This window comes from Homo sapiens, chromosome 2 (assembly GCF_000001405.40).
Source record: "Homo sapiens chromosome 2, GRCh38.p14 Primary Assembly".
NCBI classification, from domain to species: domain Eukaryota; kingdom Metazoa; phylum Chordata; class Mammalia; order Primates; family Hominidae; genus Homo; species Homo sapiens.
In genome coordinates this window covers 240648293-240674877 of record NC_000002.12, presented here as the reverse complement: position 1 = coordinate 240674877, position 26585 = coordinate 240648293, and the positions used below count along the sequence as shown (strand labels likewise).

At 44.0% G+C, this 26585-nt stretch overlaps 1 long non-coding RNA gene and 1 pseudogene across 1 annotated transcript, besides 1 other annotated feature; one reads left to right on the top strand and one right to left on the bottom strand.

Moving 5' to 3' along the window:
* LOC100420500 (galactose-3-O-sulfotransferase 1 pseudogene) lies at positions 1781-2475 on the bottom strand (annotated as a pseudogene).
* LOC124908016 (uncharacterized) lies at positions 2114-4018 on the top strand. Its single transcript, XR_007088291.1, has 2 exons — positions 2114-2201; positions 3540-4018. It is a non-coding gene; the product is annotated as an uncharacterized LOC124908016 (long non-coding RNA).
* Positions 18498-18547: a silencer, noted in NCBI's record as "silent region_12522". NCBI's record gives its function as "represses an Ori minimal core promoter by ATAC-STARR-seq in GM12878 lymphoblastoid cells {active_cell/tissue: GM12878}" and the evidence as "EXISTENCE:reporter gene assay evidence [ECO:0000049][PMID:35858748]".

The window sequence follows — 26585 nt, the reverse complement described above, 5'->3', positions numbered from 1 at the left end:
AGAAAGCCCCTTCACACACACATCCTCCTCTCTGAGGCTGCCCCTCCACACACACACCTTTCACCCCTCCATAAAGCCCCCTCCTACCCAGGCAGAGAGCTGGCTCTTTCTGGAGCCCCTGGCTCCTCTTCCCTGCTGTGGACTGGAGACAGGAATCCCATGGGACAGGCCTGAGAGCCAGTCCTGTGTGGCATCCAGAGGCCCCGATGGGGCTGCCAGATCCTGCCAGGCAAAGGGCTGCTGAGCACACAGGGGAGCCGATGGGGTGGGGCCAACCAGCTGCCCTCACAGACGTTCTGCGTGGGGGCCTGGCCATGCCTGGGTGTCACATGGCAGCAGAAGCAGCAGCAGGGGTTGGAGCCCCAGGAAGGAGAGGGGATCCTCCTCCGGTGGCAGCACGAGGCCCCTGGGTGCCGGAGGTGTGTCTATTTCCCCATCAGTGCCTGCAGCCTCTGCACAGATCCTTCCAGGAGTGGAGGTCCCGGTGCTCAGGCAGTAACTGTATCAGTAACTGAGCATGGGAGGAGCAGACACAGCCTTATCCCAGTAACATAACCAGGAAGCTGTTAGAATTACTCCAGCTTAGAATCTCTTTCTGACAATCTCGAAATTCTCAACAAAATCCACAAACCCTGAAGCAAGGGCCACAGCATTGGACAGAAACGAGCACAATTTTCCTATAAGATGTTGGAGTATCCAGGCATTAATGCAGAAGTTTTGAAATTAATTTTTCTTACAGTTGAAGATACACTGATGGAATTCACAAACAGATGTTGTAAGTTGTGTGCAATCGTGAATTCACCTTCAGTCTCTCCTATGAGCTCCACAAGCACAGGAAACGTCCGAGGAAACATAATCACGATAGATTTGCATCTACAAGCACACTCAAACTTCTGCGAAAGTCATCTGTCTGAAGCGCGGACAGTTTTGGGACTAGCCGCTCATCTGCTCTCGATGTGCTGAAATCTGCGCCTCCGGAGGCTCCGCAGAGCAGCTTCCCAGGTCGCCACAGCCTATGAGACACTCCCAGCAGCTCTGCAACGTTCCCTCTGCAGAAAGAGCCTTCTCCACATTAAAACTGCCAAAATGCCGGGCGCGGTGGCTCAGGCCTGTAATCTCAGCACTTTGGGAGGGCGAGATGGGAGGATCACGAGGTCCAGAGATCGGGACCATCCTGGCCAACATGGTGAAACTCCGTCTCTACTAAAAAAAAAAAAAATTACAAAAAATTAGCTGGGCGTGGTGGCGGGTGCCTGTAGTCCCAGCTACTCAGGAGGCTGAGGCAGGAGAATCGCTTGAAACCAGAAGGCGGAGGTTGCAGTGAGCCAAGATCGTGCCACTGCACTCCAGCCTGGGCAACAAGAGCGAAACTCCATCTCAAAAACAAAACAAAACAAAAAACAAAAACACCTGCCAAAATGACTTGGAATCGTGCATCTGCCATGGGTGACCTACGTGGCTTTCAAGTAGATGAAAAGAAAAGCAAGTTGCCAAAAACAGGTTTCGAGGCCCTGCAGAAGGATGCGCAGAAAAGGGAGCCGGGACGGAGCAGTTTCGGCTGGGGCTCCTGGCCACTGTCGCCCGCCCTGTGGGGTCCCATGTAACAGGGGCTGAGGGCGCGCCCTTCTGCTCCAGGGCCCTACGGACCCCTGCCCGCCTCTGAACACGGCCCACATTTTCCCTTGGGCCTGGGCCTGCCGCGCGACGCTGCCTGGCCTGGAGCTCTGCTCCCCAAGGGCGTCCCGGATCCCACACCCACTCCGGGAACGCGCCTGGCGAACTGCAGCTCTGGGGTGGCCAGGTCCTGGCAGTGGCGGCGGGTGGCCTGGTCCAGGTCTGGTGGCAGCCGGTAGCCCAGGATGGGCGCCAGGCCGCGCTGCAGCGGCGCCAGCTGCGGGTCAAGCTCCGCGCCCCGCCCCCAGGCCTCGCCATGCAGGAGGCAGGTGCGCGCCCACCGCTCCCGCAGCGCAGCCACCTCCAGCGGCAGCCCAGCGGCCCCCAGCGCGCCCAGCCACGCCCACAGCGTGCGGTTCAAGTGCGCACAGAGCGCCAAGTCCAGCGCGTTCTAGGCGCTCGCCCTGCACTCCACGCGCGGCTCCAGCGGCTCCGGGCCGAAGGCCGCGCGCCAGTGGGCGGGGACGGCCACCAGGTCATCCAGGCCCCAGCGCAGTGCGGCGCAGGAGCCCCAGGGACTCGTCCAGGTGCTGGGCGATCAGCAGCAGGTCGAAGCGCGCGGCCACCGCTTGCACCCCCGGGGCCAAGAGGCGCGTTGCCACCCTACAAGGCGGCGGCGCGTTGTGGTCGAAGCCTAAGTCCAAGGCCATGAGGTTGTGGCCATGGTGCCTGTCGGGCCGCCTGGGGTCGTAGAAGGCGCAGGAAGTGGCGCAGGATCCGGGCTCCGACGAAGGGAGAGGCCGTCTTGTAGAAAGCGGACTCCAGGACGAGGGCTGGGTCCCGCAGGGTGGTGAAGGAGGTGTCGCGGGGCAGGATGCGTCGCATCTGGGCGGGGAAGGGCCTGTGTGCCCACGAGGGCGGCTGGCTCTGGGGACGCTCCAAGGGCTCCAAGGGCAGCAGTCGCCTTGAGCCCCACCCAGGCAGAGCTTCCATCGCCTGGGCCTCTGGAGCTCTGGCCTGTCCATCCAGAGGCGCCCGGAGGAGGCGAGCCCCACCCTTATATTTGAACTCGGAGCCCCCCACGGACCACTTCCCACAACCGCTAGGACAGGAATGGCCCCCCCAGCGCTCTGCCTGCAGCCACCTCCCCTCCCTGCTCAGGGCACCGTACGTCATAATTAAGTTCAAGGGAAGGTACTATGCCTGGATGTGTACCTAAACCAGATTGATGTTTCTCTCCACCCAAACATCTCAGTGGAGTAAAGAATAACAAGGCAGCATTGCGGCAAACATGTCTCGCCTCTCACCACAGGGCGGTTTTTCTCTCATCTCGGAATTGAACAAATGCACAATCGGGTTTTAAATCGAGACATTCAGTTCCCAGGGGCAGGCAGGAGACAGTGGCCTTCCTCTATCTCAACTGCAAGAGGCTTTCCTCTTTTACTAATCCACCTCAGCACAGACCCTTTACGGGTGTCGGGCTGGGGGACGGTCAGGTCTTTCTCATCCCACGAGGCCATATTTCAGACTATCACACGGGGAGAAACCTTGGACAATACCCTGCTTTCAAGGGCAGAGGTCCCTGCGGCTTTCCACAGTGCATTGTGCCCCTGGTTTATTGAGACTGGAGAATGGCGATGACTTTTACCAAGTATACTGCCCGTAAACATTTTGTTAACAAGGCACGTCCTGCACAGCCCTAGATCCCTTAAACCTTGATTTCATACAACACATGTTTTTGTGAGCTCCAGGTTGGGTCAAAGTGGCTGGGGCAAAGTGGCTGGGGCAAAGCTACAAATTAACAACATCTCAGCAAAGCAATCGTTTAAAGTACAAGTCTTTTTCAAAATGGAGTCTCTTACGTCTTTCCTTTCTACATAGACACAGTAACAGTCTGATTTTTCTTTCTTTTCCCTACATGCCAGAGGGAAGATTAAGCATGGAGACAGTCACACAACACTGCCATCTTTTACCCAAATAAATAGTCATCACTTTACAGTCTTGTGCCAAAGCATTATCCATTAGCCAGACTGCCTGAGAAAGGCAAAAGACTCCCGACATCTGGAAATCTTGCAGGCTTTCAAGGCTGCCTATCTGCTTATAAAACAAGGATGTGTCCGTTATAGCTTTAAGTCTGCACTCTATGTCTAGCTCCTAAAACTAGAGTCTGCCAGGTTCCACGCTGATGATGCTCATCTTCCTGGGTACAGAACAAAGACAAGATAAGGTCAACCATTCTTCTGCCACCCGCCATCCTACAAGCCTTCTCCCTGTAAGGAAATATGTAAATTCTAAACCTCCTGAAAACCTGTTTGGATAACGTCAGACACAGACATGTCTGTGACTTGTGTTTTTCCCCAACACACCCTCAAGCTCTGGCTTAATAAAACTTGATCAATTGAGACTCCTGTGTCTGTCACTAATTTTGATCAACAGGTAACACAGTAGCTGCAGGGGGCCACAGATTGTAAACCAAAAAGCATCTGAGACAAGTCTCAATCAATTTGGAAGGTTATTTTGCCAAGGTTCAAGATCATGGTCTGTGACACAGCCCCTGGAAGTCCTGAGAACATGTGCCCAGGCGGTTGGGTCACAGCTTGATTTTGTACATTTTAGGAGGGCAGAAGTTACAGGCAGACATCAATCAATACATGCGAGGTATACACTGCTTCGGTCTGGAAAGGTGGGACATCTGGGGTGGGGTGAGAGGGCTTCCAGGTCATAGGTAGATGCAAAGATTTGCCGCCTGGCAATTGGTTGAAAGAGTTAAGTTTTGTCTAAAGAGTTGAAGTCAACAGAAAGAAATGCTTTGGGTTAACGTAAGTGGGGGGTTGTGGAAGCCAAGGTTCTCGTTTCGCAGATGAAGTATCCAGGTAGTAGGCTTCAGAGACAATAGATGGTAAATGTCTTCTTATCAGTCCTTAAAAGGTGCTAGACTCTCCTGAAAAGATTTAGTAAGAGAAGGAGATTCTCTACAGAATGTAAATTTCCCCCACAAGAGACAGCTTTGCAGGGCCACTTAAAAATACATCAAAGAAATATATTTTGGGGTAAAATGTGTTGATTTCTTTCAGGGCCTGCTATTTGTCACACGATGCTATACTAGAGCCTGTTCCAGAGGTCTCTCCTGGCTTCTAGTGTTGCTGGCCATCCTTGGTGTTCCTGGTCCTGTACAAACATCACTTGAGACTCTGCCTCCATCTTCGCATCTTCCCTGTGTGTCTCTGTTTCTGAGTCTCTTCTCCTCTTTGTATAAGGACACCAGTCATTTTGGATTAGGGCCCACCCTAATGACCTCATCTTAACTTGATTATATCTAAAATGGCTGTTTTCAAATAAGTTCACCTTCACAGGTACCAGGGTTTAGGACTTTAAGTATCTTTTTGGGAAAACATAATTCAGCCTAGCACTTGTAGTGTATAATATTGTTCAACATTATTGGACTCCATTTTCTAATAGTTTGTTGAGAATTTTTGTATCTATGCTCATGAGAGACATTGGTCTGTAGTTTTCCTTTTTGATAATGTCTTTATCTGGTTTTGGTATTAGGTTGACGGTAGCCACAGAGAAGGAGTTAGGAGGTGAGCCCTCTGCTCCTATTTTCTGGAAGAGATTGTGGAAAATTCCTATAATTCCTCCCTTAAATGTTTGGTGGAATTAACCAGTGAAGCCATCTGGGCTTGGTGGTTTCTGTTTGGGAAACTTATTAATTTTTCATTTATTTAATAGGCCTTCATCTATAATAGATATAGGCCTATTAAAATTATTCCTCCCTGTGGCCAGGATAATCCCAGCACTTTGGGAGGCTGAGGCGGGCGGGTCACGAGGTCAGGAGATCGAGATCATCCTGGCTAACACAGTGAAACCCTGTCTCTACTAAAAATACAAAAAAAATTAGCCAGGCGTCGTGGTGGGCCCCTGTAGTCCCAGCTACTTGGGAGGCTGAGGCAGGAGAATGGCGTGAACCTAGGAGGTGGAGCTTGAAGTGAGCCGAGATCGGGCCACTGCACTCCAGCCTGGGCGACAGAGTGATGCTCCATCTCAAAAACAAAAAAAATTATTCCTCCTTGTGAGTTTTGGTAGTTTGTGTCTTTCAAAGAATTGATCCATTTCATTAAAGTTATATAATTTGTGGACATATATTTTGTGGACATAGTTTTCATAGTATTTTTTTTATGATTCTTTTAATATTTATGGGATCAGTAGTGGTGACTTCTTTTTCATTTCCGATATTAGTAATTTGTGTTTTATCTCTTTTTTACTTGGTCAGCCTGGCTAGACATTTATCAGTTTTATTGGCTTTTTTGAAAAAGGTTATGAAAAACAAAGTTATGATCCCATAATTTTCTCTCTTGTTTTTCTGTGTTCAATTTTATTGATTTCTGATTTAATTTTTATTATATCTGTTATTCTGCTTGCTTTAGGATTAAATTGTTATCTTTCTACGGTTTCCTGGGATGGAAACTCAGATTACTGAATTTAGATATTTCTTCCTTTATAACATATGCATATGTCATCTACCTATAGCCCTATCCAGACACTGCTTTTGCTGCATCCCACAAACTTCATGAGTTGTATTTTCATTTTCATTTAGTCAGAATATTAATTTTTATTTACCTTGAGAATTCTTTGACCCATGTGCCATTTTAACATGTGCTATTTAATTTCCAGATACTTGGGGATTTTCCAGCTGTCTTATTGTTATTTGTTTCTAATTTTATTTAATTGTGGTCTGAAAGATCCTTTGTATTTTTGTTTTTCACATTTGTTAATGTATGGCTTATGGCCCATTGTGTGTTCTAATTTTGTGAATGTTCCATGAGATCTTAAGAAGAATATGTATCCTCCTGCTGTTGTAATTAAATTAGCTCCTCTCACATTCTTTTGATTAGTGTTGGCATAGTATATCATTCTCTTACTTGACTTTCAACCTATCTAAATCTTTGTTTTTTAAATGAGTTACTTATAGATAACATATAATTGGATCTTGTTTTTTTATCCTCACTGACAATCTGTCTTCTAATTGGTATATTTAGACCATTCACGTTCAACATGATCATTCATATAGTTGGATTAATATGTATCACATTTGTATCTGTTTCCATTCATTAATTTCACTTTTTTTTTTGTTTCTTCTTTTCACCACAGACACCTCTTTTTACCGTCTACTCTGGTTTTAATGAAGCATTTTATACAATTCCAATTTAGCTCCTCTATTAGGCCATCACTAGGGTATCAAAACAATATGTTTATATTTTTAAAAATTTTAGTGGTTGTCCTAGAGCTCCCAATATACAATTTTAACTAATGTAAGTTGAACTTTGAATAGCACTCTATTGCTTCATGTGAAGCATATGTACCTTAAGCAGAGCGTTTTCAATTCATTTCTATGTAAGTGTTCCCAATCTGTATGAGTCAAGACACAGATGGCCTGAATAGCACTAACAATCACCTTGATCTTACTGACATTTCTGGAATAACCCATCTAATGTGTAGGATATGCATTATTCTCAAACTCTCATGGAACACTCATCAAAGTAGACCACATTCTAGGCCATAAAACACACATAAACAAACATAAAAAATAAAAACACAAAGGATCTTTCAGACCACAGTGGAATAAAATTAGAAGTCAACAACAGTAAAATAGCTTTCCCCAAATATCTGAAAATTAAACAGCATAGTTTTAAATAGCACATGGATCAAAGAATTATTATCAAGATAAATGATAATTAATATTTTGAACTAAATGAAAATACCACTTATCAAAATTTGTGAGATGCAGGAAATGCAAAGCTTAGAGGAATATATAGCATTAAAATGCACATATTATAAAGAAAGAAGTATCTAAATTCAACAACCTAAGATTCCATCTCAGGAAACCAAAAAGAGAACAATTTAAGGCTAAAACAAGCAGAATAACAAAAATAATAAAAACTAGATCGGAAATCAATGAAACATACAATGGAAAAAAGTAGAGAAAATCACTGAAACCAAAAGCTTTTTAAAGGAGATCAATAAAATTGGCACAAACTTCAAGCCAGACTGCACCAGAAAAAAAGAGAAGACACAAATTACTAATATCAGAAATGAAGAAGGAATCATCACTACTGATTCTTTGGACATTAAAAGAATAATAAGGGAATACCATGACCACTCTATGTCTGCAAATTTCATAACTAAACAAAATGAACCAATTCCTTGAAATATCAAAAATCAAAAATCACAAAAAAAGAAAAAGATTATCTGAATTGCCATGTCTACATGTATATAATAAAGAAGTTGAATGAATAATTAATGATTTCAACAACAACCAAAAAACCACAGTACTTTCAGACAGTTTCACTGGTGAGTTCTACTAAACCTTTAAGGAAGGTAAAATTAATATTAATTCTCCATAATCTCTTCCAATAAAGAGAAGTAGAGAAAACACTTTTTACTCATTCTACGCTGCTAGCATTACTCTAACACCAAAGGAGACAAAGAAAACTACAAACCCGTATCTCTTATGAACATACACACAAAACTCCTCAACAAAATATCAAGTCAGATCCAACCATATAAAAAAATAAATTATATACTGCTACCCAGATATCCAAGGTTGTTTCAATACTTGAAAATTATTCTAATAACCATAGCAACAGGCTAAAGAAGAAAAATTATATGATTATATCAAATGATTTAGAAAAAGCATTTACCGAATCCTACATCCATTCACGAAAAATTCTCAGCAAATTAGGAATAGAGATGCTGTTTCTCAACTTGATAAAGCTCATCTACAAGCAAACTTACAGCTACAAGGAAACATCACACTTAATGGTGAGAAGCTGGTCACTTTCCCACTAAGATCACAAACAAGGCAAGGATGTCCCTGTTCACCACATCCACCCAACATTGCACTGGAATTCCTAGCATATGAAACAATACAAGAAGAAGAAATGAAAGGTATATATATTGGAAAGAAAGAAATAAAAATGAAGAAATAAAGGAGAGTAGTTATTTTTTACTAACAATGCTGAAACAAACAGAAGTCTATGTGAAAGTAAACCTAGACATGAGCCTAACACTTTCTCCCCAAATTAACCCAAAATGGATCATAGACGTCAGTGTAAAATGCAAAACTATAAAATGTCTAGAAGAAAACAAAGGAGGAATTCTGTGTGACCCTGTGATTGATGATGTTTTTGGATACTACTCCAAAAGCATAATTCATGAAAGAAAAATTAACTTTGGATATTAGATAAAATTTTCTGCCAGCAAAAGACATTGTTAACAAAATATAAAGACAGTTCATGGAATGGGAGAAAAATCTTCGCAAAATACATATCTGATAAAGGACTTATATTCAAACTATACAAAGAATTATTAAAATTTAGTAAGAAAACAACCCAAATTAAAAATGAACAAAAGACCAGAACAGACAACTAATCAGAAAAGATACAGAGATACCAAATATGCATATGGAAGTGCATATTTGTCAAATGTACATTTCCATATGCATATTTGATATATATAATTGCATAATTCATCATTAGAGAATTAAAAATTAAAATAATAACACACCTATTCGAATGGCTAAAATCCAACAACCTGATAATACCAAATGTTGATGAGCATGCAGAGCAATAGGAACTCTCACCCATTGATGGTGGGAATGCAACATAGTACCACCACTTTGGAAGATAGTTTGGCAGTTTCTTACAAAGCTAAACATAGTCTTATCATATGATCAGGCTATCACACTCCTAATGATTTTCCCAACTGATTTGAAAACTTTATGTCCACACAAAAACCTGCATGTGAATTTTCATAGCAGCTTCATTCATAATCACCAAAAATTAGAAGCAACAAAGATATCCTTCAACAGGTGAATGAATAAGCAAACTTTGGTACATCCATACAATGGAATATTATTCAGTAATAAAAATAAATTAGCTGTCAAGCCACAGAAAGACATGGAGACACCTTAAATGCATATTGATAAATGAAAGAAGCTAGTCTGAAAGGTGATATACTATACAGTGGTTATATAGCATATATCAATAATTATGATATAACATGGAAAATGTCAGTGGTTGTCAGGGATTTGAGGGGAAAGAAGAAAGTTAAAAAGGTGAAGCAAAGGAATTTTTAGGACAATAAATCTATTCTTTAAGTACTATATTCTGTATAATGCTATAATGGTGGATACTTGACATTATGCAATTCTCAAAATCCATACTACTTTACAGAATAAAAGATAAATGTTAACATATGCAAAATTTTAAAAAGTCATTTAGGAGGTTGGAGGCTCTCAGGAAAGAATGCAGACTATGACAAAAACATCTAACTGTATTACAAGTGTATAAAACAACCTCACTGAAGGGAGTGGAAAGAAAAGGTGCTCACCTAAGTAACCTTGGAAATGAGTGTTGCTGCAAGACTGAAGGCAAAGGACACTGCACATAAGCACTGTACTCTACCTGATAATGTCATTTCCCACAGGCGTGAGGGTGAACAATTCTTATGCCACTATATGTGTATGCTAAGGTTGGACAGTTAGGCTAATGGATGGCAGATGGTGGGTGCCAGGTTTCTTACTGGGTGGGATAAGTAAGGGAAGGAAACTAGAATAATCTACATGGTAATAGATTTGGAAACATCAAATGAAGTCATGATTACTTAGAGAAATATTTATAAATATATGTATATACATGGGATAGAATACACACATATATTTCCTCATTGTGTCAGCAGAGAGAGCCTAAACAAATCAGCACCTCAATAGCAACAAGCATACCCGGCTTCCAGATCTTGATTTCTTTTTTTTTTTTTTAGATGGAGTCTTGCTCTGTTGCCCAGGCTGGAGTGCAGTGGCGTGATCTCGGCTCACCACAACCTCCACCTCCCAGGATCAAGTGATTCTTGTGCCTCAGCCTCCTAAGTAGCTGGGATTACAGATGTGGGCCACTACACCTGGCTAATTTTTGTGTTTTTAGTAAAGACAGGGTTTCACCATGTTGGCCAAGCTGGTCTTGAACTGCCAACCTCAAGTGACCCATCCACATGGACCTCCCAAAGTGTTGGAATTACAGGTGTGAGCCACCATGCCCGGCCCAGATCCTGATTTCTAAGACCACTCTCCAATAAAAGGAGCCAAGATTTCTTGGAGAAATGGATGACTCTAGGACCGGGGCTAGAAATATAAAAGATGAGCCTAAAGCATCTTGTAGTGCCAGAAAGTTAGGAAGTGCTGGACACAAAAACCCACACTGGTGGCAGCACGTCAGAGAGACACAGGAGCCAACCGAAAGAGCTCCCCGGTGGCCAAGATTGGAATAGAGTTAACAAAACAAATAAAATAATATTTAATCATAGCCCAAAGTATAAAAAAAAATCCATGAATCCATGCTGATATAAATTAATTGTAGAATAAATAAGTTAATGGGGTAGAAGAAACAAAAGTCATGTGTGGAAAAATTCTAAATATTTTATGATGCTACTCTTCCCTCAAGGAGAGGAAGCATAACTTCCCACTCCTAAACTGTGGGTTGCACATGAAGACTTCCTTCTAAAGAATACAGTATGGAAAGGAGGGAGGGGAAATAGTCACTTTACAGTGGAGAAAACTCACCACACTACCTCAAGGTCAACATCAACAGGGATAAATGATGTTGATACGATGTCAATAGTATGTACCCTTGATATAATGTGACAAAAATGGTACTTTACTTCTGTAGTCTTCTCCCCAAAACCCATCATTTCAGTCTCATAATGAAAAAAGTCAGATAAATTCTAATAAAATTACATTTTACAACATACCTGAGCAGTTGCTCTGAGAGCCCCCAGCTAAACTGGGGTTCCAGTACCACAGCAGCTAGCAACCCTGCCCTAACAGAAAATGAAGAGGGTCTGGACATGGGTGTTTACGGTATCCTTTTTTTTTTTTTTTTTGAGATGGAGTTTTGCTCTTGTTGCCCAGACTGGAGTGCAGTGGTGTGATCTTGGCTCAGTGCAACCTCTGCCTCCCAGGTTAAAGCAATTCTCCTGCCTCAGTCTCCTGAGTAGCTGGAATTACAGGCATGCACCACCACATCTGGCTAATTTTGTATTTTTAGTAGAGACAGGGTTTCTCCATGTTGGCCAGGCTGGTCTTGAACTCCCGACCTCAGGTGATCTGCTCACCTCGGCCTCCCAAACTGTTGGGATTGCAGGTGTGAGCCACCGTGCCTGGCCTACGGTATCCTTTCATGGGCTACTTCTATCACCTGGAAGACAACCTAATACCTAGTGTCTGACCCGTGACCAGGGAGGTTCCTTGCACTGGAAACTTGTTTATACTGGCAGATAGCTTAGTGGCCCTTGTCTGACTCATGTCTAGCTTATGTCTGCCTGATCTTCATTCTGTGTCTGCCTGACCATCACTCTGATGCTGGGAGCCTGACCTTGTGTTCTTCTGGTGGAAGGTGCAAATTCAGTACACCACCACAATATGAAATATGTTCAAAGATTTATTACAAATAGATCTTGGACAGTAAGAGCACAGTTAGGAGGGAAGTCCTTCATCCTCCAGCCACTTGAAGTTCATGGGGAAATGTCTGAAAGGTTCATTTGAAAGAAGCCACAGGAAAGCAGGGAGCCCAGTCTGCTGGGTGTGGAAGATGCCTCTAAGTTCATTTTTGTTTGTTTGGTTTTGGTTTTGAAGATCTTGTTGCATACCAGACTTCTAAGTTCTTCTCTCTAGCCACTGGCTTCAACCATTTGGATGTTCTACTTCTAATGCCTAGGGAGCAAACATTGCTGTGGCATTCTCATTACATCAGCACTCCTCAAAACTGTCAAGGCCATCAAAAACAAGGAAAGCCTGAGAACCTGTCACAGCCAAGAAAAGCTTAAGGAGTCATGACAGCTAAATGTAATGTGATAGCCTGGATGACCTGCTGGAACCGAAAAAGTGTGTTAAATGAGACATAAATATAAACAAAAAAATAGATAAAAACTAAACTATCAGAATAAACTACCACGTTAGATAATGATCAATATTTGTACATCAATTGTAATAAATGTACCATATCGACATAAAATGTTAATGATAGGGAAAACTGGGTGCAGAAGATATAAACAAACAATTTATGTTGGCAGATTTGTGGCTCTTGTTCAACCCACGTCCAGTTTATGTCTCCCTGATCATCACTCTGGGAACTATTTGTACTATCTTCTCAACTTTTCCATAAATCTAAAACTATTTTTTAAAATAATTTCTATATAAAACAAACAAAACAGAAGGAAATACACCATGACAAAGTGGAATTTATTCCAAGTATGCAATACTGGTTTAAAATTAGAAAGTCAATTAATATAATCCATCACATCAACAGGCTAAAGAAGAAAAATTATGTCACAACAATAGGTGCAGAAAAAGCATTTGACAAAATCCAAAACCCATTCATAATTTAAAATCCTGAGTAATCTAAGAATAGAGGAGAAACTTCCTCAACTTGATAAAGAATATCTACAAAAAAAACCAAAAAACAACCTACAACTAATATTGTACATAATGGTGAGAAACTAGATTTCCTGCTAAGATCAGGAGCAAGGATGTCCCCTGTCAGCACTGCTTTTCTACATTGTACTGGAAGTCTTAGCTAATGTGATATCACAAGAAAAAGAAATAAAAAGTATATAGATTGGGAAGGAATAAATAAAATTCTTTATTTGCAGATGACATGATCATTTATGTAAAAAAAAAAAAAAAAAAAGGACAAAAAAAAACCCTCCTAGAACTAACAGGTGATGTAGTGTCCCCAGCAAACCTCTTGTTGAATTGTAATTCTCAGTGTTGGGAATTACAACAGTGGGGCCTGATGGGAGGTGATTGGATCATGGGGTAGATTCTTCATGAATGGTTTAGCACCGTCCCCCTGCCTTGGTTCTGTATAGTGAGTGAGTTCTCACAAGATTTGGTTGTTTAAAAGTGCGTGGCACACTCCCCTCTCGGTCCTGCTCCTGCCACGTGAGATGCCTGCTCCCGCCATGTGAGATGCCTGCTCCCGCCATGTGAGATGCCTGCTCCCGCTTTGCCTTCTGCCATGAGTTAAAGCTCTCTGAGGCCTCCCCAGAAGCAGATGCCACCATACTTTCTATACAGCCTGCAGAACTATGAGCTAATTAAACCTCTTCTTTATAAATTACCCAGTCTCAGGTATTTCTTTATAGCCGTGCAAGAACTGACTAATACAGGTGATTACAGCAAGGTTGCAGGATACAACATTAACATACAAAAGTTGGCCGGGCGCGGTGGCTCATGCCTGTAATCCCAGCACTTTGGGAGGCCGAGGCGGGCAGATCATGAGGTCAGGAGATCAAGACCATCCTGGCTAACACGGTGAAACCCCATCTCTACTAAAAGTAAAAAAAAATTAGTCGAGTGTGGTAGTAGTCCCAGCTACTCAGGAGGCTGAGGCAGAAGAATGGTGTGAACCCAGGAGGTGGAGCTTGCAGTGAGCTGAGATTGTGCCGCTGCACTCCAGCCTGGGTGACAGAGCAAGACTCCATCTCAAAAAAAAAAAAAAAATACAAAAGTCAATTGCTCTTCTATATACCAGCAATGGACAAGTGGAATGTGAAATTAAAGACATATTACCATTTACTTCAGCATCCCTCAAAAATTAAATACTTAGTTATAAAGCTAACAAAATATGTATATGACCTATATGATGAAAACTACAAAACTCTCATGAAATAATTTTTTAAAAACTAAAGAAATGGAGAGATACTTCACGCTCATGGACAGGAAGCCTCAATATTATTAAGATGTCACTTCTTCTCAACTTGATGTATAGATTCAGTACAACCCCAATCAAAATCCCAGCAAGTAATTTTGTGGATATCAACAAATAAATTCTAAAGTTTCTGTGGAGGCCAGGCACGGTGGCTCACGCCTGTAATCCCAGCAATTGGGAGGCCAAGGCGGGCAGATCGCTTGAGGTTAGGAATTCGAGACCAGCCTGGCCAACATGGTGAAACTGCATCTCTACTAAAATACAAAAAAATTAGCCAGGTGTGGTGGTGCTGAGGAGGCTAAGACAGGAGAATTGCTTGAACCCGGGAGGCGGAAGTAGCAGTGAGCTGAGATTGCACCAGTGCACTCCAGCCTGGACGACAGAGTGAGACTCCGTCTCAAAAATAAATAAATAAATAAATAAATAAATAAATAAATAAAGTTTATGTGGAGAGGCAAAGGACTCAGAGTATTAATACAATACTGAAGGAGAAGAACAAAGCCGGAGAACTTACTTGACTTCAAGACTCACTATGAAGCTACAGTAATCAAGGCAGCGTGGTACTGGTGAACAAATAGACAAAAGATGAATGGAACAGAATAGAGGCCCGTAATAGAAGCACATAAATATAGTCAATGGATCTTTGACAAAGGAGCAAAGGAAATACAGTAACAAAAAGATAATCCCTTCAACAAATGATACCGGAACAACTGGACATCCATGTGTAAAAAAAAAAGAATCTAGACAGACTTTACACTTTTCACAAAAATAAACTGAAAATGGATAACATCCTTAAATGTAAAACACAAAACTGTAGACCCTTAGAAACTAACATAGGAGAAATTCTAGAGGATCTTGGGTTTGGTGATGACTTTTTAGACACAACACCAAAGACAATAGCCATGAAAGAAAGAAAAGGTAAGTTAGACTTTGCTGAAATTAAATATTTCTGCTCTATAAGAGACATTGTCAAGAGAATGGAAATGCAAGCCACAGACAAGGAATGACATGTCTTTGCAAATGATGTATCTGATAAAGGACTCTCATCCAAAATATACAAAGAACTCCTAAAACTCGAAAATAAGAAAACAAACGACCCAATTAAAAGATGGGTCAAAGACCTTAACAGATACCTCAGCAAAGAAGATAAGCAGACAGTAAATAAGCATACGAAAAGATGCTCCACATCACATGTCATCAGGGAAATGAAACTTAAAACAACAACATGCCACTACACACTTATTAGAATGGTCAAAATCCAGAACACTGACAACACCAAACGCTGGTGAGGATGCAGAGCGACAAGAAGGCTCATTCACTGCTGGTAGGAATACACAATGACACAGCCACTTTGGAAGACAGCTTGGCACTTTCTTACGAAACTAAATATACTCTTACCATATGATGCAGCAATCATGTACCTTGGTATTTATCCAAAGGACTTGAAATCTCATGTCCACACAAAAACCTGCAAACAGACGTTTATAACAGCTTTATTCATAAATGCCAAAACTTGGAAGCAATCAAGATGTCCTTCAGTAAGTGAATGCATAAATTCAGACAATGAAAATAAGATTGACCTTAAGCAAGATTAAGCAAAAAGAACAAACCTGGGTAGATATCCAGTAGTGGGATTGCTGGATCAAATGGTGGTTCTACTTTTAGTTCTTTAAAGAATCTCCACACTGTTTTCCATAATGGTTGACCTAGTTTACATTCCCACCAGCGGTGTAGAAGTGTTCCCTCTTCACCACATCCACACCAGCATCTATTATTTTTGGATTTTTTATTATGGCCATTCTTGCAGGAGTAAGATGGTATCACATTGAAGAAATGAAGTCATTATACGAAAAAGATATTTGCACACGCATGTTTATAGCAGCACAATTCGCAATTGCAAAAACGTGGAACCAACCCAAATGCCCATCAATTGAGTGGTTAAAGAAACTGTGAAATATATATATATATATGGATGGAATACTACTCAGCCATAAAAAGGGATGAATTAATGGCATTCGCAGTGGCCTGGATGAGATTGGAGACTATTATTCTAAGTGAAGTAACTCAGGAATGGAAAACCAGACATTCTGTGTTCTCACTCAAAAGTTGGAGCTAAGCTATGACGATGCAAAGGCATAAGAATGACTCAAAGGACTTTGGGGACTCAGAGGGAAAGGGTAGGAAGGGGGTGAGGGATAAAAGGCTACAAATTGGGTTCAATGTATACTGCTCGGGTGATGGGTGCACCATAATCTCACAAATCAGCACTAAAGAACTTACTCATGTGACCAAACACCACCTGTTCCCCAGTAACCTGTGGAAATAAAAAATTTTTAAAAAATACTATTGGCATTAAAAAGAAATGAGCTATGAAGGCATGAAAAGACATGGATAAACCTTAAATGCATATTACTAAGTGAAAGAAGCCAATCAATCATATATTATGTGATTCAAATATATGACATTCTGGAAAAGGCAAAGCTATGGAGACAGTAAAGAGATCAGTGGTTGCCAAGGGATGGGGAAGGCGGAAGATGGATGAACAGGTGGAGCACAGAGGAGTTTTAGGTAGGATGCTCTATATGATACTGTCATAGTAAATACATGAGGTAGGATGCTGTATATGATACTGTCATAGTAAATACATGTCATTGTAGATTTGTCAAAACCCATAGAATGTACAACATAGAATGACCCTTAATGTAAGACATGGGCTTTGGGTGATAATGATATATCAATGTAGGTTCATTAATTGTAACAAACATGTCACATTGGTGATAGATGTGGGCAATGGAGAGGCTAGGCATGTGTTGGGGGGAGGGAGTATATGGGAAATCTCTGTATCTTCTGCTCAATTTTTCTGTGAACCTAAAATGGCTCTAAACAATAAAATCTATTAAAAATGAAGTTTATTTTAAAAATCAGAGGGAAAAAACAGTAAACAGAAAATAAAATGGCAGGATTAAGCCCTGTTATATCAGTACTTACATAAAATGTAAATGGACAAATATACCAATTTAAAGATATTGGCAGAATGGATACAAAAACATGATCCCGATACACGCTGTGTTTCAGAAACTCATTTCAACTGTAATTATTATATGATTAGGCTGAAGATAAAAGGATGGAGAAAGGTAGACCATGAGAACATGAACAAAATCAAGTAATCATGGCTCTATTAATACAGATAGAACCTTCAGAGCAAAGAAATTACCAGGGACAATTACTCATGTGCATGCAGCAAACAGAAGAACTGTACCATTATCCTTCCCTCACGGAAAGACTTGTATAATTATATGAGTTCTCCCCGACCCCCTCCTCCCCAGCTCCCCAGAAAAGCAGAGGAATCTCCCCAGCAGGGACCCTCCCTTGGCCCCTCATGTTCAGTGTGAGCACACACCAGCCCTTGGTGCCTATAGCTTCTTTCTTTTTGGAAAACCAGTGTTTCAATTGCCTGTTTCAATTCTTTCTCAAGCCATTGCTCTGAAGATGAGTGTGTTTCTTGATGTGAAGAAATGTAACTCAGCAGTGCACACTGGCATGAAAGCTTCTGTTCCAGCTCTTTTACAGCACTCTGTGTATTTGCATGTACCACTGGGCAAGCAAAGCCCAGCCCAGAGTCAGTGTCTGTTCCTTTCAGGACCTATTTGTAGGCTTCTGGGGCTACAGAATCAATTCTACTTGCCAGCTATGTGCAGGGCCTCCCCCTTACCCCCCTCTGCTTCCAGGTAAATCTGCCCTGCAGCCATCTGCAGTCTCTGTCTCTGTATCAGCAGATAGTTGCATCTCATGGCTCCGAGGGTGTGTTGAGGGGGAGGACATGTTTAGGCGCAGCCCTTCCCTGCGCCGCTGCAGCCTCCACATCCACGGCTTCCATGGGCCCTTGTGGCCATCCCAAGTGAATGCACCAGGACTCCCATTTGCCAGTTCCGATCACCTTCTGATCCTGGAAGGGGTTCTTCTGATGGATATTGTCATGTTCTACTTTAATGCACCCCTGAAACTCCCACGGTGATTTTCAAGGGGCCCTTTCTTTAATAGACTAGTTTTCCACTGGCTATCTGCAATCACATGGCCATGTCACCGGCCACCCCTTATGAGTCAGTAAAAACCCAAACAGGAAAACCACATGCAAGTCAGCCCACTGAGCTAGTTTGACTTTTCCTTCTTCAATCAGAGAATCATGCCTGTAATCTCAGCACTTTGGGAGGCAGAGGAGGAAGAATCACTTGAGCTCAGGAGTTTGAGACCAACCTGGGCAACATAGCCAGACCCCATCTCTAAAAAAAAATTTTAAAACTTAGCCAGGTGTGGTGGCGGGTGCCTGTAGTCCCAGCTACTAGGGAGGCTGAGGCAGGAGGATCACTCAAGCCTGGGAGTCTGAGGCTGCAATGAGCAGTGATCACACCACTGCACTCCAGCATGGGTGACAGAGCAAGACCCTGTCTCAAAACACAAACAAAAAAAACAAAACAAAACAGAGGGACAGCCTTCCAAACAGGATGCTCCCCATTCTGCCTGAACCTGCTGTCCATAAACCAAGCAGCTTCCTGCTGATCCGTTGGGCACTGTTTTCATGGTGACAGCATCTGGCAGCTCCTCAGAGGATTCCAACGTCCGTCCTCGGGGAAAAGAGGCTCTGCTCATGGGGTGATGAGCTCCTCCTACCTTCCCCCAGGAGCATGTACCTGTACCCGAATACATAAATTAAATAAAATTTCCATTTTATTCCGGAATTCTTTTGGGCACTGACCTCTCCATGGGAGTGTTTCTCTGGCAATGCTTAAGACATTCTGGGTATTTCAGGTTCTGGGGTTATTTTATGTCCTTCAGTCATAGGAACAGTCTTAATCAAAGCTCAGTAACCCGCAAATTGTCTCTCAAACAGAAATTTCCAGTCCAAAATCGCACTTCTCACTGCTGGATGGTGCTCACAGGCTTGACTGTGAGTCCTGGTCTGCCTCACACAGGGCTGGACCATACAGAGAATGTGTGCCTGCACTCCTGCTTCTAACAGGGCATTCATTCAAGTGGTAAGCCCTTTTTGTCCACCAGCTGTTTAATACTGTTTCAAATTAATGACCTCTGTGGGCTTAGACAACGTTATTGGCTCCATTTAGCATGCCCAGCCAATATTGGCTGAAAGGTAGATTTACCTGTTGATATGGTTGATATGGTTTGACTGTGTCCCCACCCAAATCTCATCTTGAATTGTAACTCCCACAATTCCCACATGACATGGGAGGAACCTGGTGGGAGGTGATTGAATGATGACAGCAGGTCTTTCTATGATAGTGAATGAGTCTCACGAGATCTGATGGTTTTAAAAATGGGAGTTTCCCTGCACAAGCTCTGTCTTTGCCTGCTGCCAACCACGTAAAACATGACTTGCTCCTCCTTGCCTTCTGCCAGGATTGTGAGGCTTCCCCAGCCATGTGGAACTGTAAGTCCATTAAACCTCTCTTTCTTTTGTAAATTGCCCAGTCTCAGGTAGGTCTTCATCAGCAGTGTAAGAATGGACTAATACACCTGTCTTCTGTTTTACATGTGACCTAAGGGAAGCATCTGCCAGCCAGATGCAGTATCTACCCCCATGACACATTCAGGTGCAGCAGGTGCAACCACATCACATAAAATCTGCTCAAACATTCCGATATTCATCGGAACTTTCACCTTCATCCCATCAACCTTTGCTTCCTGCACCCTCCCACCCCAGCTGTAGCTTCTACAGAGACTTCACCAACAGGTTTGGAATCACAGTAGGAGAACAGCCTGTTGCTGTGTATTTATCTCGAAGCAAAAACACCATGATGACCAGTGTTTGATCCCCACATACCAAGGTGTTCTGCAGTAGGGTCTGTAGACATTGCCTGCAGCAGAGAGAACCCTTCAAAAAGACGTCTATCTAACCTGCTCAGTGGACACACGTCTTGGCAAGAATGTCCGAAGATATGACCAGCTGCACACGTTCTATCACACAAGCTTGCTAGATAAAGGATACTTTCTGGCCTGATGTGAGTGACTCACACCTGTAATCCCAGCACTTTCAGAGGCTGAGGCAGGCGGATCACTTGAGGTCAGGAGTTTGAGACCAGCCCGGCCAACATGGTGAAACCCCATGTCTACTAAAAATACAAAAATTAGCCAGGTGTGGTGGCACATGCCTGTAATCCTAGCTACTTGGGAGGCTGAGGCAAAAGAATCACTTGAACCCAGAAGGCAGAGGTTGCAGTGAGCTGAGATTGCACCACTGCACTCCAGCCTGGGTGACAGAGGGAGATTCCATCTCAAAAAAAAAAAAAAAGATGCTTTCTGGAGGGCAAGTGGCTCACAGCCCCTTGAGACGTGGCTTCTGTTCATAAGTCCCTATTTTTTTTTTTTTAAGATGGAGTCTCGCTCTGTCGCCCGGGCTGGAGTGCAGTGGCGCAACCTCGGCTCACTGCAAGCTCCACCTCCTGGGTTCACGCCATTCTCCTGCCTCAGCCTCCCGAGCAGCCAGGACTACAGGTGCCTGCCACCACACCTGGTTAATTTTTTGTACTTTTAGTAGAGACAGGGTTTCACGTGTTAGCCAGGATGGTCTCGATCTCCTGACCTGGTGATCCACCTGCCTCGGCCTCCCGAAGTGCTGGGATTACAGGCGTGAGCCACATAAGTCCCTATTCTATATTTCTTTCTGAGAAGCTGTATTTGTCAGCTTCTTTCTTCGGCCTCTCAGCTCCTGGGGCCTTTGCGGGTAGGTTTGCACTGACCTGCTCACCATGGAGCAATCTCAGTGCATGGGGCTCTCGTGTTGAGGAGTCCCAGAAACATTTCTTCTCCATCCCCTGAGCATTTTACCCACTCATGGGTGTATAGCATTGGGTCCCCAGCCAGGGGTCAGGCCAAAGGATGCCTGACCCTCTCATCAATCAAGCCCTTATCTTGATTGGATTGCAGGAGCATCACTCTAGGTGACTGGAGGCCAACTTGCTCATGGTCACCTTTGCCTTCTAATGTTTTCTATTTCTCCAAACTGGATGAACATAGGTTTAGGCCCTTTAGTTTGGGGCACACAGGAGCTCCCAGCAGTTCCAGTTTCTGAGAGTGCTGCCGTAAGAGTGTTGTTTTAACCCCATTAATGTCTGCTTTGCTCTGCCCATGTCTGTCTGTCTTTCTTTCTTTCTTTCTTTCTTTCTTTTTTTTTTTTGATGGAGTTTTGCTCTTGTCACCCAGGCTGGTGTGCAATGGCGTGATCTCAGCTCACTGCAACCTCCGCCTCCTGGATTCAAGTGATACTTGTGCCTCAGCCTCCCGAGTAGCTGGGATTACAGGCTCCCACCGCCACACCTGGATAATTTTTGTATTTTTAGTAGAGACGGAGTTTCACCATGTTGGTCGGGCGGGTCACGAACTCCTGATCTGGGATTAGAGGCGTGAGCCTCCGCGCCCAGGCTTATTATTATTATTTTAATTAGAGATGAGGTCTTGCTATGTAACCAGGCTGGTCTCAAACTCCTGGCCTCAAGCGGTCCTCCCACCTCAGCCTCCCAAAGTGCTGGGATTACAGGCATGAGCCACTGAGCCCGGCCATGTTCTTTCCATTTCTTAATAACTGTTGAAGGATGTTCACCTGCTGGGATGGGCTCCTTCACTCTCCCACCTGACTTTCCTCATTCTTTTGCAAAGCAGTCTGAATTTCCCCACAATCTGTTGTTTCCACACAACTTTTTCCTTTGGCCCTGAGGCCAGCGACTATAGCTTGGACCTCCCAGAACCCAGGATTGGTGCAATGTCAGGATTCAGCCCAACATCTTCCTTACCTTTCCCTCTAACCTTCCCATCGGTCATGGCCCCAAGGCAACCACCTCGGCCTCACTACCCATTGGCTCAGGCTCAGAACCTCTCTCTTGCTTTCATTTCAGCTTTTACAGAAACAATAACTCACAGTGGACCCATATGAAGTGCCACTAGTGATGCTGGAAGTGCCCAAGAAGCAGAGAAAAGTCATGACATTACAAGAAAAAAGTTGAATTGTTGGATACGTACTGAGGTCTGCAGGTGCGGTTGTGCCATTTCAGAGAGACAATTCATCTTGTAAACAGATGACAGAAAACTTAATGATATTGATAAATACAGTACAGTACTGTAAATGTATTTTCCCCTCTTTATGATTTTCTTAATAATAGTTTATTTTCTCTAGCTTACTTTATTGGAAGAATACAATTTATAATACCTATAACATACCAAATAAGTGTTAATTATTTATGTTATCAGTAAGGCTTCGGGTCAACAGCGGGCTGTTAGTAGTTAATAGCCTACTGTTGTGTCTCCGTGGTAATAGCCTATCATTGTAATTGTCAGAAATGAGAGTGGTCTTGAGGACTGTTTTCTCTGCCTTTACAGTTTGATAAAATTCCTGCAGCTGAAAGTGGAATTCACTAGAATGTCCCTGACTCGCTAAAAAATGTGGTATGGAAAAAGGAGCAATGAGAGGGCAGGGGATGAAGGATCTCTCTTTTACTTTCACCCTCTCTTAACTTTTGTTTTAGCTTTTAGGGAACACAATAACCAAGAGATTGCATATGTAGCTTGGTTTTTGTTACTTTGTATTTCCTTATTCATCCGGCCAGCCAGTTCCTGGGGATCTGGATCCATCATTTCCAAATTCTGTTGGAAACTTTTACCTCCTGCAACTGACCACAGCAGGGCTGCAGCTCCATACCACACGTGACCCATGGCCATCCAGAAATCAGAGGTCCTTCATCCCCTGCCCTCTCATTGATCCTTTTCCCAAACCACACGTTTCAGTGAGTCAGGGTCATTCTAGTGAATTTCACTTCCAATTCCAACTCCAACTCCAAGAGCTTTAGCCAAATGTGACGACAGAGAAAACAGTCCTCAAGAGCACTCTCACTTCTGACACCAATTACAAGTTCCAGGAACCCCACACCACCCTCAGGTTCTGTAATTTGATAGAAAGACTCATAAAACTCACCGAAAGCTGTTATAGGTGTGGTTACAGTTTATCACAGAAGAAGGACACAGTTTCAAGTCAGCCAAGGAAGCTGCACACAGGGCAGAATCCAGGAGAACAAGAGGCTTCTGTTGTCCTCTCCCTGTGTGGTCAGGCCAGTTTTGCTCTCCTGGCATGTACGTGTGGTGACACACCTGCAGCACGGCCAGCTGGGGAGGCTCACTTGATGCTCTCTGCCCAGAGTTTTTACTGGGGCTCCAATATGTAGGCATGGTTGATTGATTGGTTGACTGACTGATTGCTCACATAGTTGACCTTAGACTCCAGCCCTCAGGAGGTTGAGATGTGTGACCAAAAGCCCCTACCCTAAATCACATTGTCGGTCTTTCTGGTGGTTAGCCCCCACCTAAATACTATCAAGTGTGGCCCGCCACCACCCTAAATCACCTTGTTAGACTATCTGGCATTATCCAAGGCAAACAAAGGTAAACAAAGACACTCCTATCAGTCATGACATTCTAAGGGCTTAGACATGACCTTCCAGAAGCCAAGGGAAGGGCTAGACATCTTTTTGGATAAGGTTAAATTCTTTACCGCACAACGTGTGAGATAAAAATTATGGAAGAAGGAGTTTAGGATTCCCAGAGCATCCTCATGTCCCTGATGCTGCATGGGGTGCATCTGCCAGAGGCCCCTCGCGGTGATGGAAGCCTGAGGAGCAGGAGCACCTGGCTGTGGCAGGTGAGGTCTGGGTTCCAGGGCCCAGGGTGGACCACACATCCCAGGCCCAGGAGCCAGAGCCTCACGTGGGCCCACCCCAGAGGCCAGGCACCAGAACTCAGGCTGTGGATCCTGTGTTCCCGGAACCACCTACAGTTTGGCTGCCTTGATCCAACCCTCCCACAGGAAAGGGTGCTGCTGACCCAGCTCCATCCTCTCCTCATCCCCTTGCCACATATTAGAGGGTCCTAAGGGTTCTGGGGTGCAGCTCCTAGGAAGAGGACTCTGTCCTTTTCCAGATTCCAGAAAGGGAGGAAGACACTGCTAGGAGTCTTCCCCTGTGAGGGTGCCCTGGCCCAGAATCTCCTCCACTGAAGAGCAGAGAAATGTGCCTACACCAAGAGCTGTCCACACAGCCTGACAGCAGAAGTGTCTCGCCTCCGAGTGACCCCACTTTCCGGTGAGCCCACTTCCAAAGACCCAGAACCACCGCAAGACGCTTTGCTCTCTACTAAAGCGATGCTGATTTTTTTCTCTGTTAGTTTTGTGGCTATTGAGTGATCATTCAGCGACTTAAGTGGAAATCTAACAGATTATAATTCTTCTATAATGTCCTGCAGGTTCCTCAAACATGACTCCCAGTGATTAAGGGCTTTCATGCCCTCCCACTAGTGGGAAGTGTAATTACATTATCTTGTTGTTGTTAATTAGTGTAATAAAGTTATCCAGAAACACAGCAAGAACTTTGTCTTCTAAAATAATTTCCATGTTTTTCTCTTTTATTTTTTTTTTTGTTATTATGAAATGGTTACACAATATCTCAAATGGAGACCTAATGTAATTTTTAGGGTAGTGTTTTATAAATGTACATTATGTAAATGTGAATCTTAGTAAACCATTTCCACATTATTTGATTTCCGAATACTGCAAGAAGCATATTTGTGTCATTGTTATTTAATAAGTCTCTTCATCCAGGAACCAGAGGTCCTTCATCCCCTGCCCTCTCATTGATCTTTTTCCCAAATCGCAAGTTTCAGTGAGTCAGAAACCCATTTTCCCTCTCTTGTGAGCTAATATTGGACCTCCTGTTGGAGCTAATATGTATCTTCCTCACATGGAGGAGAAGCAGCTGGGGGCCTCTTTCTCCTCCAGTTAATCTTCCTGGGATGTTCTGCTCGGAGGCCATCCTAATCTTAACACAACAGGGGCCTGGGGGCCCTAAGCAGAGTACGGGGGTCAAACCCGCCCCTCTTCAGCCTGTCCTGCCCTCTCCTTTGGTTCCACTGTGGTGGTGAGTTGATTACACAATTGGTCCTATTGAAGCTGGACGGAATTCTAGTTCTTGGGGTAGTGATTTCTACACGAAGCTCATTTGGAAGTGAATTTCCTGGGGGCACTGTTTCCTTTCCTTCTGTTCTGACAAGGGAAGGACATTATTTGGGTGTGGCCGCCTTTTAAGACCCTGCACCAGGGAAGTTCGGTGAGGGTTTTATAGGAGCCGTCTCACATCTGGGGAGATGCAGAAACACTGTTCTCTTCTATGGACCCAGAGATGAATATACAGTAGTTAGAAGACCAGTTATGTTCAACTCACTAAAACTTGATTTTTAGGAATGTTTGGGAAATACCGTTTCCACAAAACATCCTTCCCTCGTCCATCCATCGCGGGTGCTGGGGATTGCCTGTGGGAGACCTGGCCTCGGTGCTGCCTCCCTCCCTCCTTCAGTCCTGAATCCAGCTCTGGAGGAGAAGCAGCTGGGGCCGGGGAGGGGAGGTGACACCGTGCCCCGAAGGGTTAAAAAGACCGGTGACTGACAGCGGGGATTCCTGAGCTCACATGACGGCAGGTAAGAACAGCAGCAGCGTGCTGGAAATTCCCTCCTTGTGAGAATAAAACTGCCTGAGATCCTGGGGACCCAAAGGGCCGGCTGGAGTGGGCAGCAGCTTGCTGACATCACGGCCCAAATTTCCACCTCACGTTCATACTCACTGCCCCTGAATCAGCACATGTGACCCTGCAGAGGCACGAAGACACAGCTGCACATGCCCAGGGGACATTTCAGACCTCCCCTTTCCCTCCGGCAATCACCCGCTAATCCCAGAACCCACCCCAGACCTTTCCTAATGACGGCACTGCCTTAAGGCCAGGAAGGGGAGATGGATGTGAGCTGCATCCTGTCTCCTTGTTGCTGACCCACAGCAAAGCTTGTCTTTTCTTAAACCTGGTGCCACAGTACCGGCTTCTGAGTACCTCTGGAAGCCAGCCCCATTCACTGTCTTCCCCAGGCAAACCAGCTGCCCAGATTTGTTTCCCCAAAGTGCCTCTCCTCTCCCAGGCCGCTCACCCTATCATCTCTCAGGACCAGGGTGTCCCAGAGCATGCTTTAGGGGGTGCCTAGAGTTGGGACAGGCCACTGGACATCCAGCAGGGACCCTGAACTCAGTTGCGACCCCAAGGGCGTGGGGCCCGTTCTCCTCCAGTGAATCTCCCTGGGATGTTCTGCTGGGAGGCCCCCCTAACCTTAACACAACAG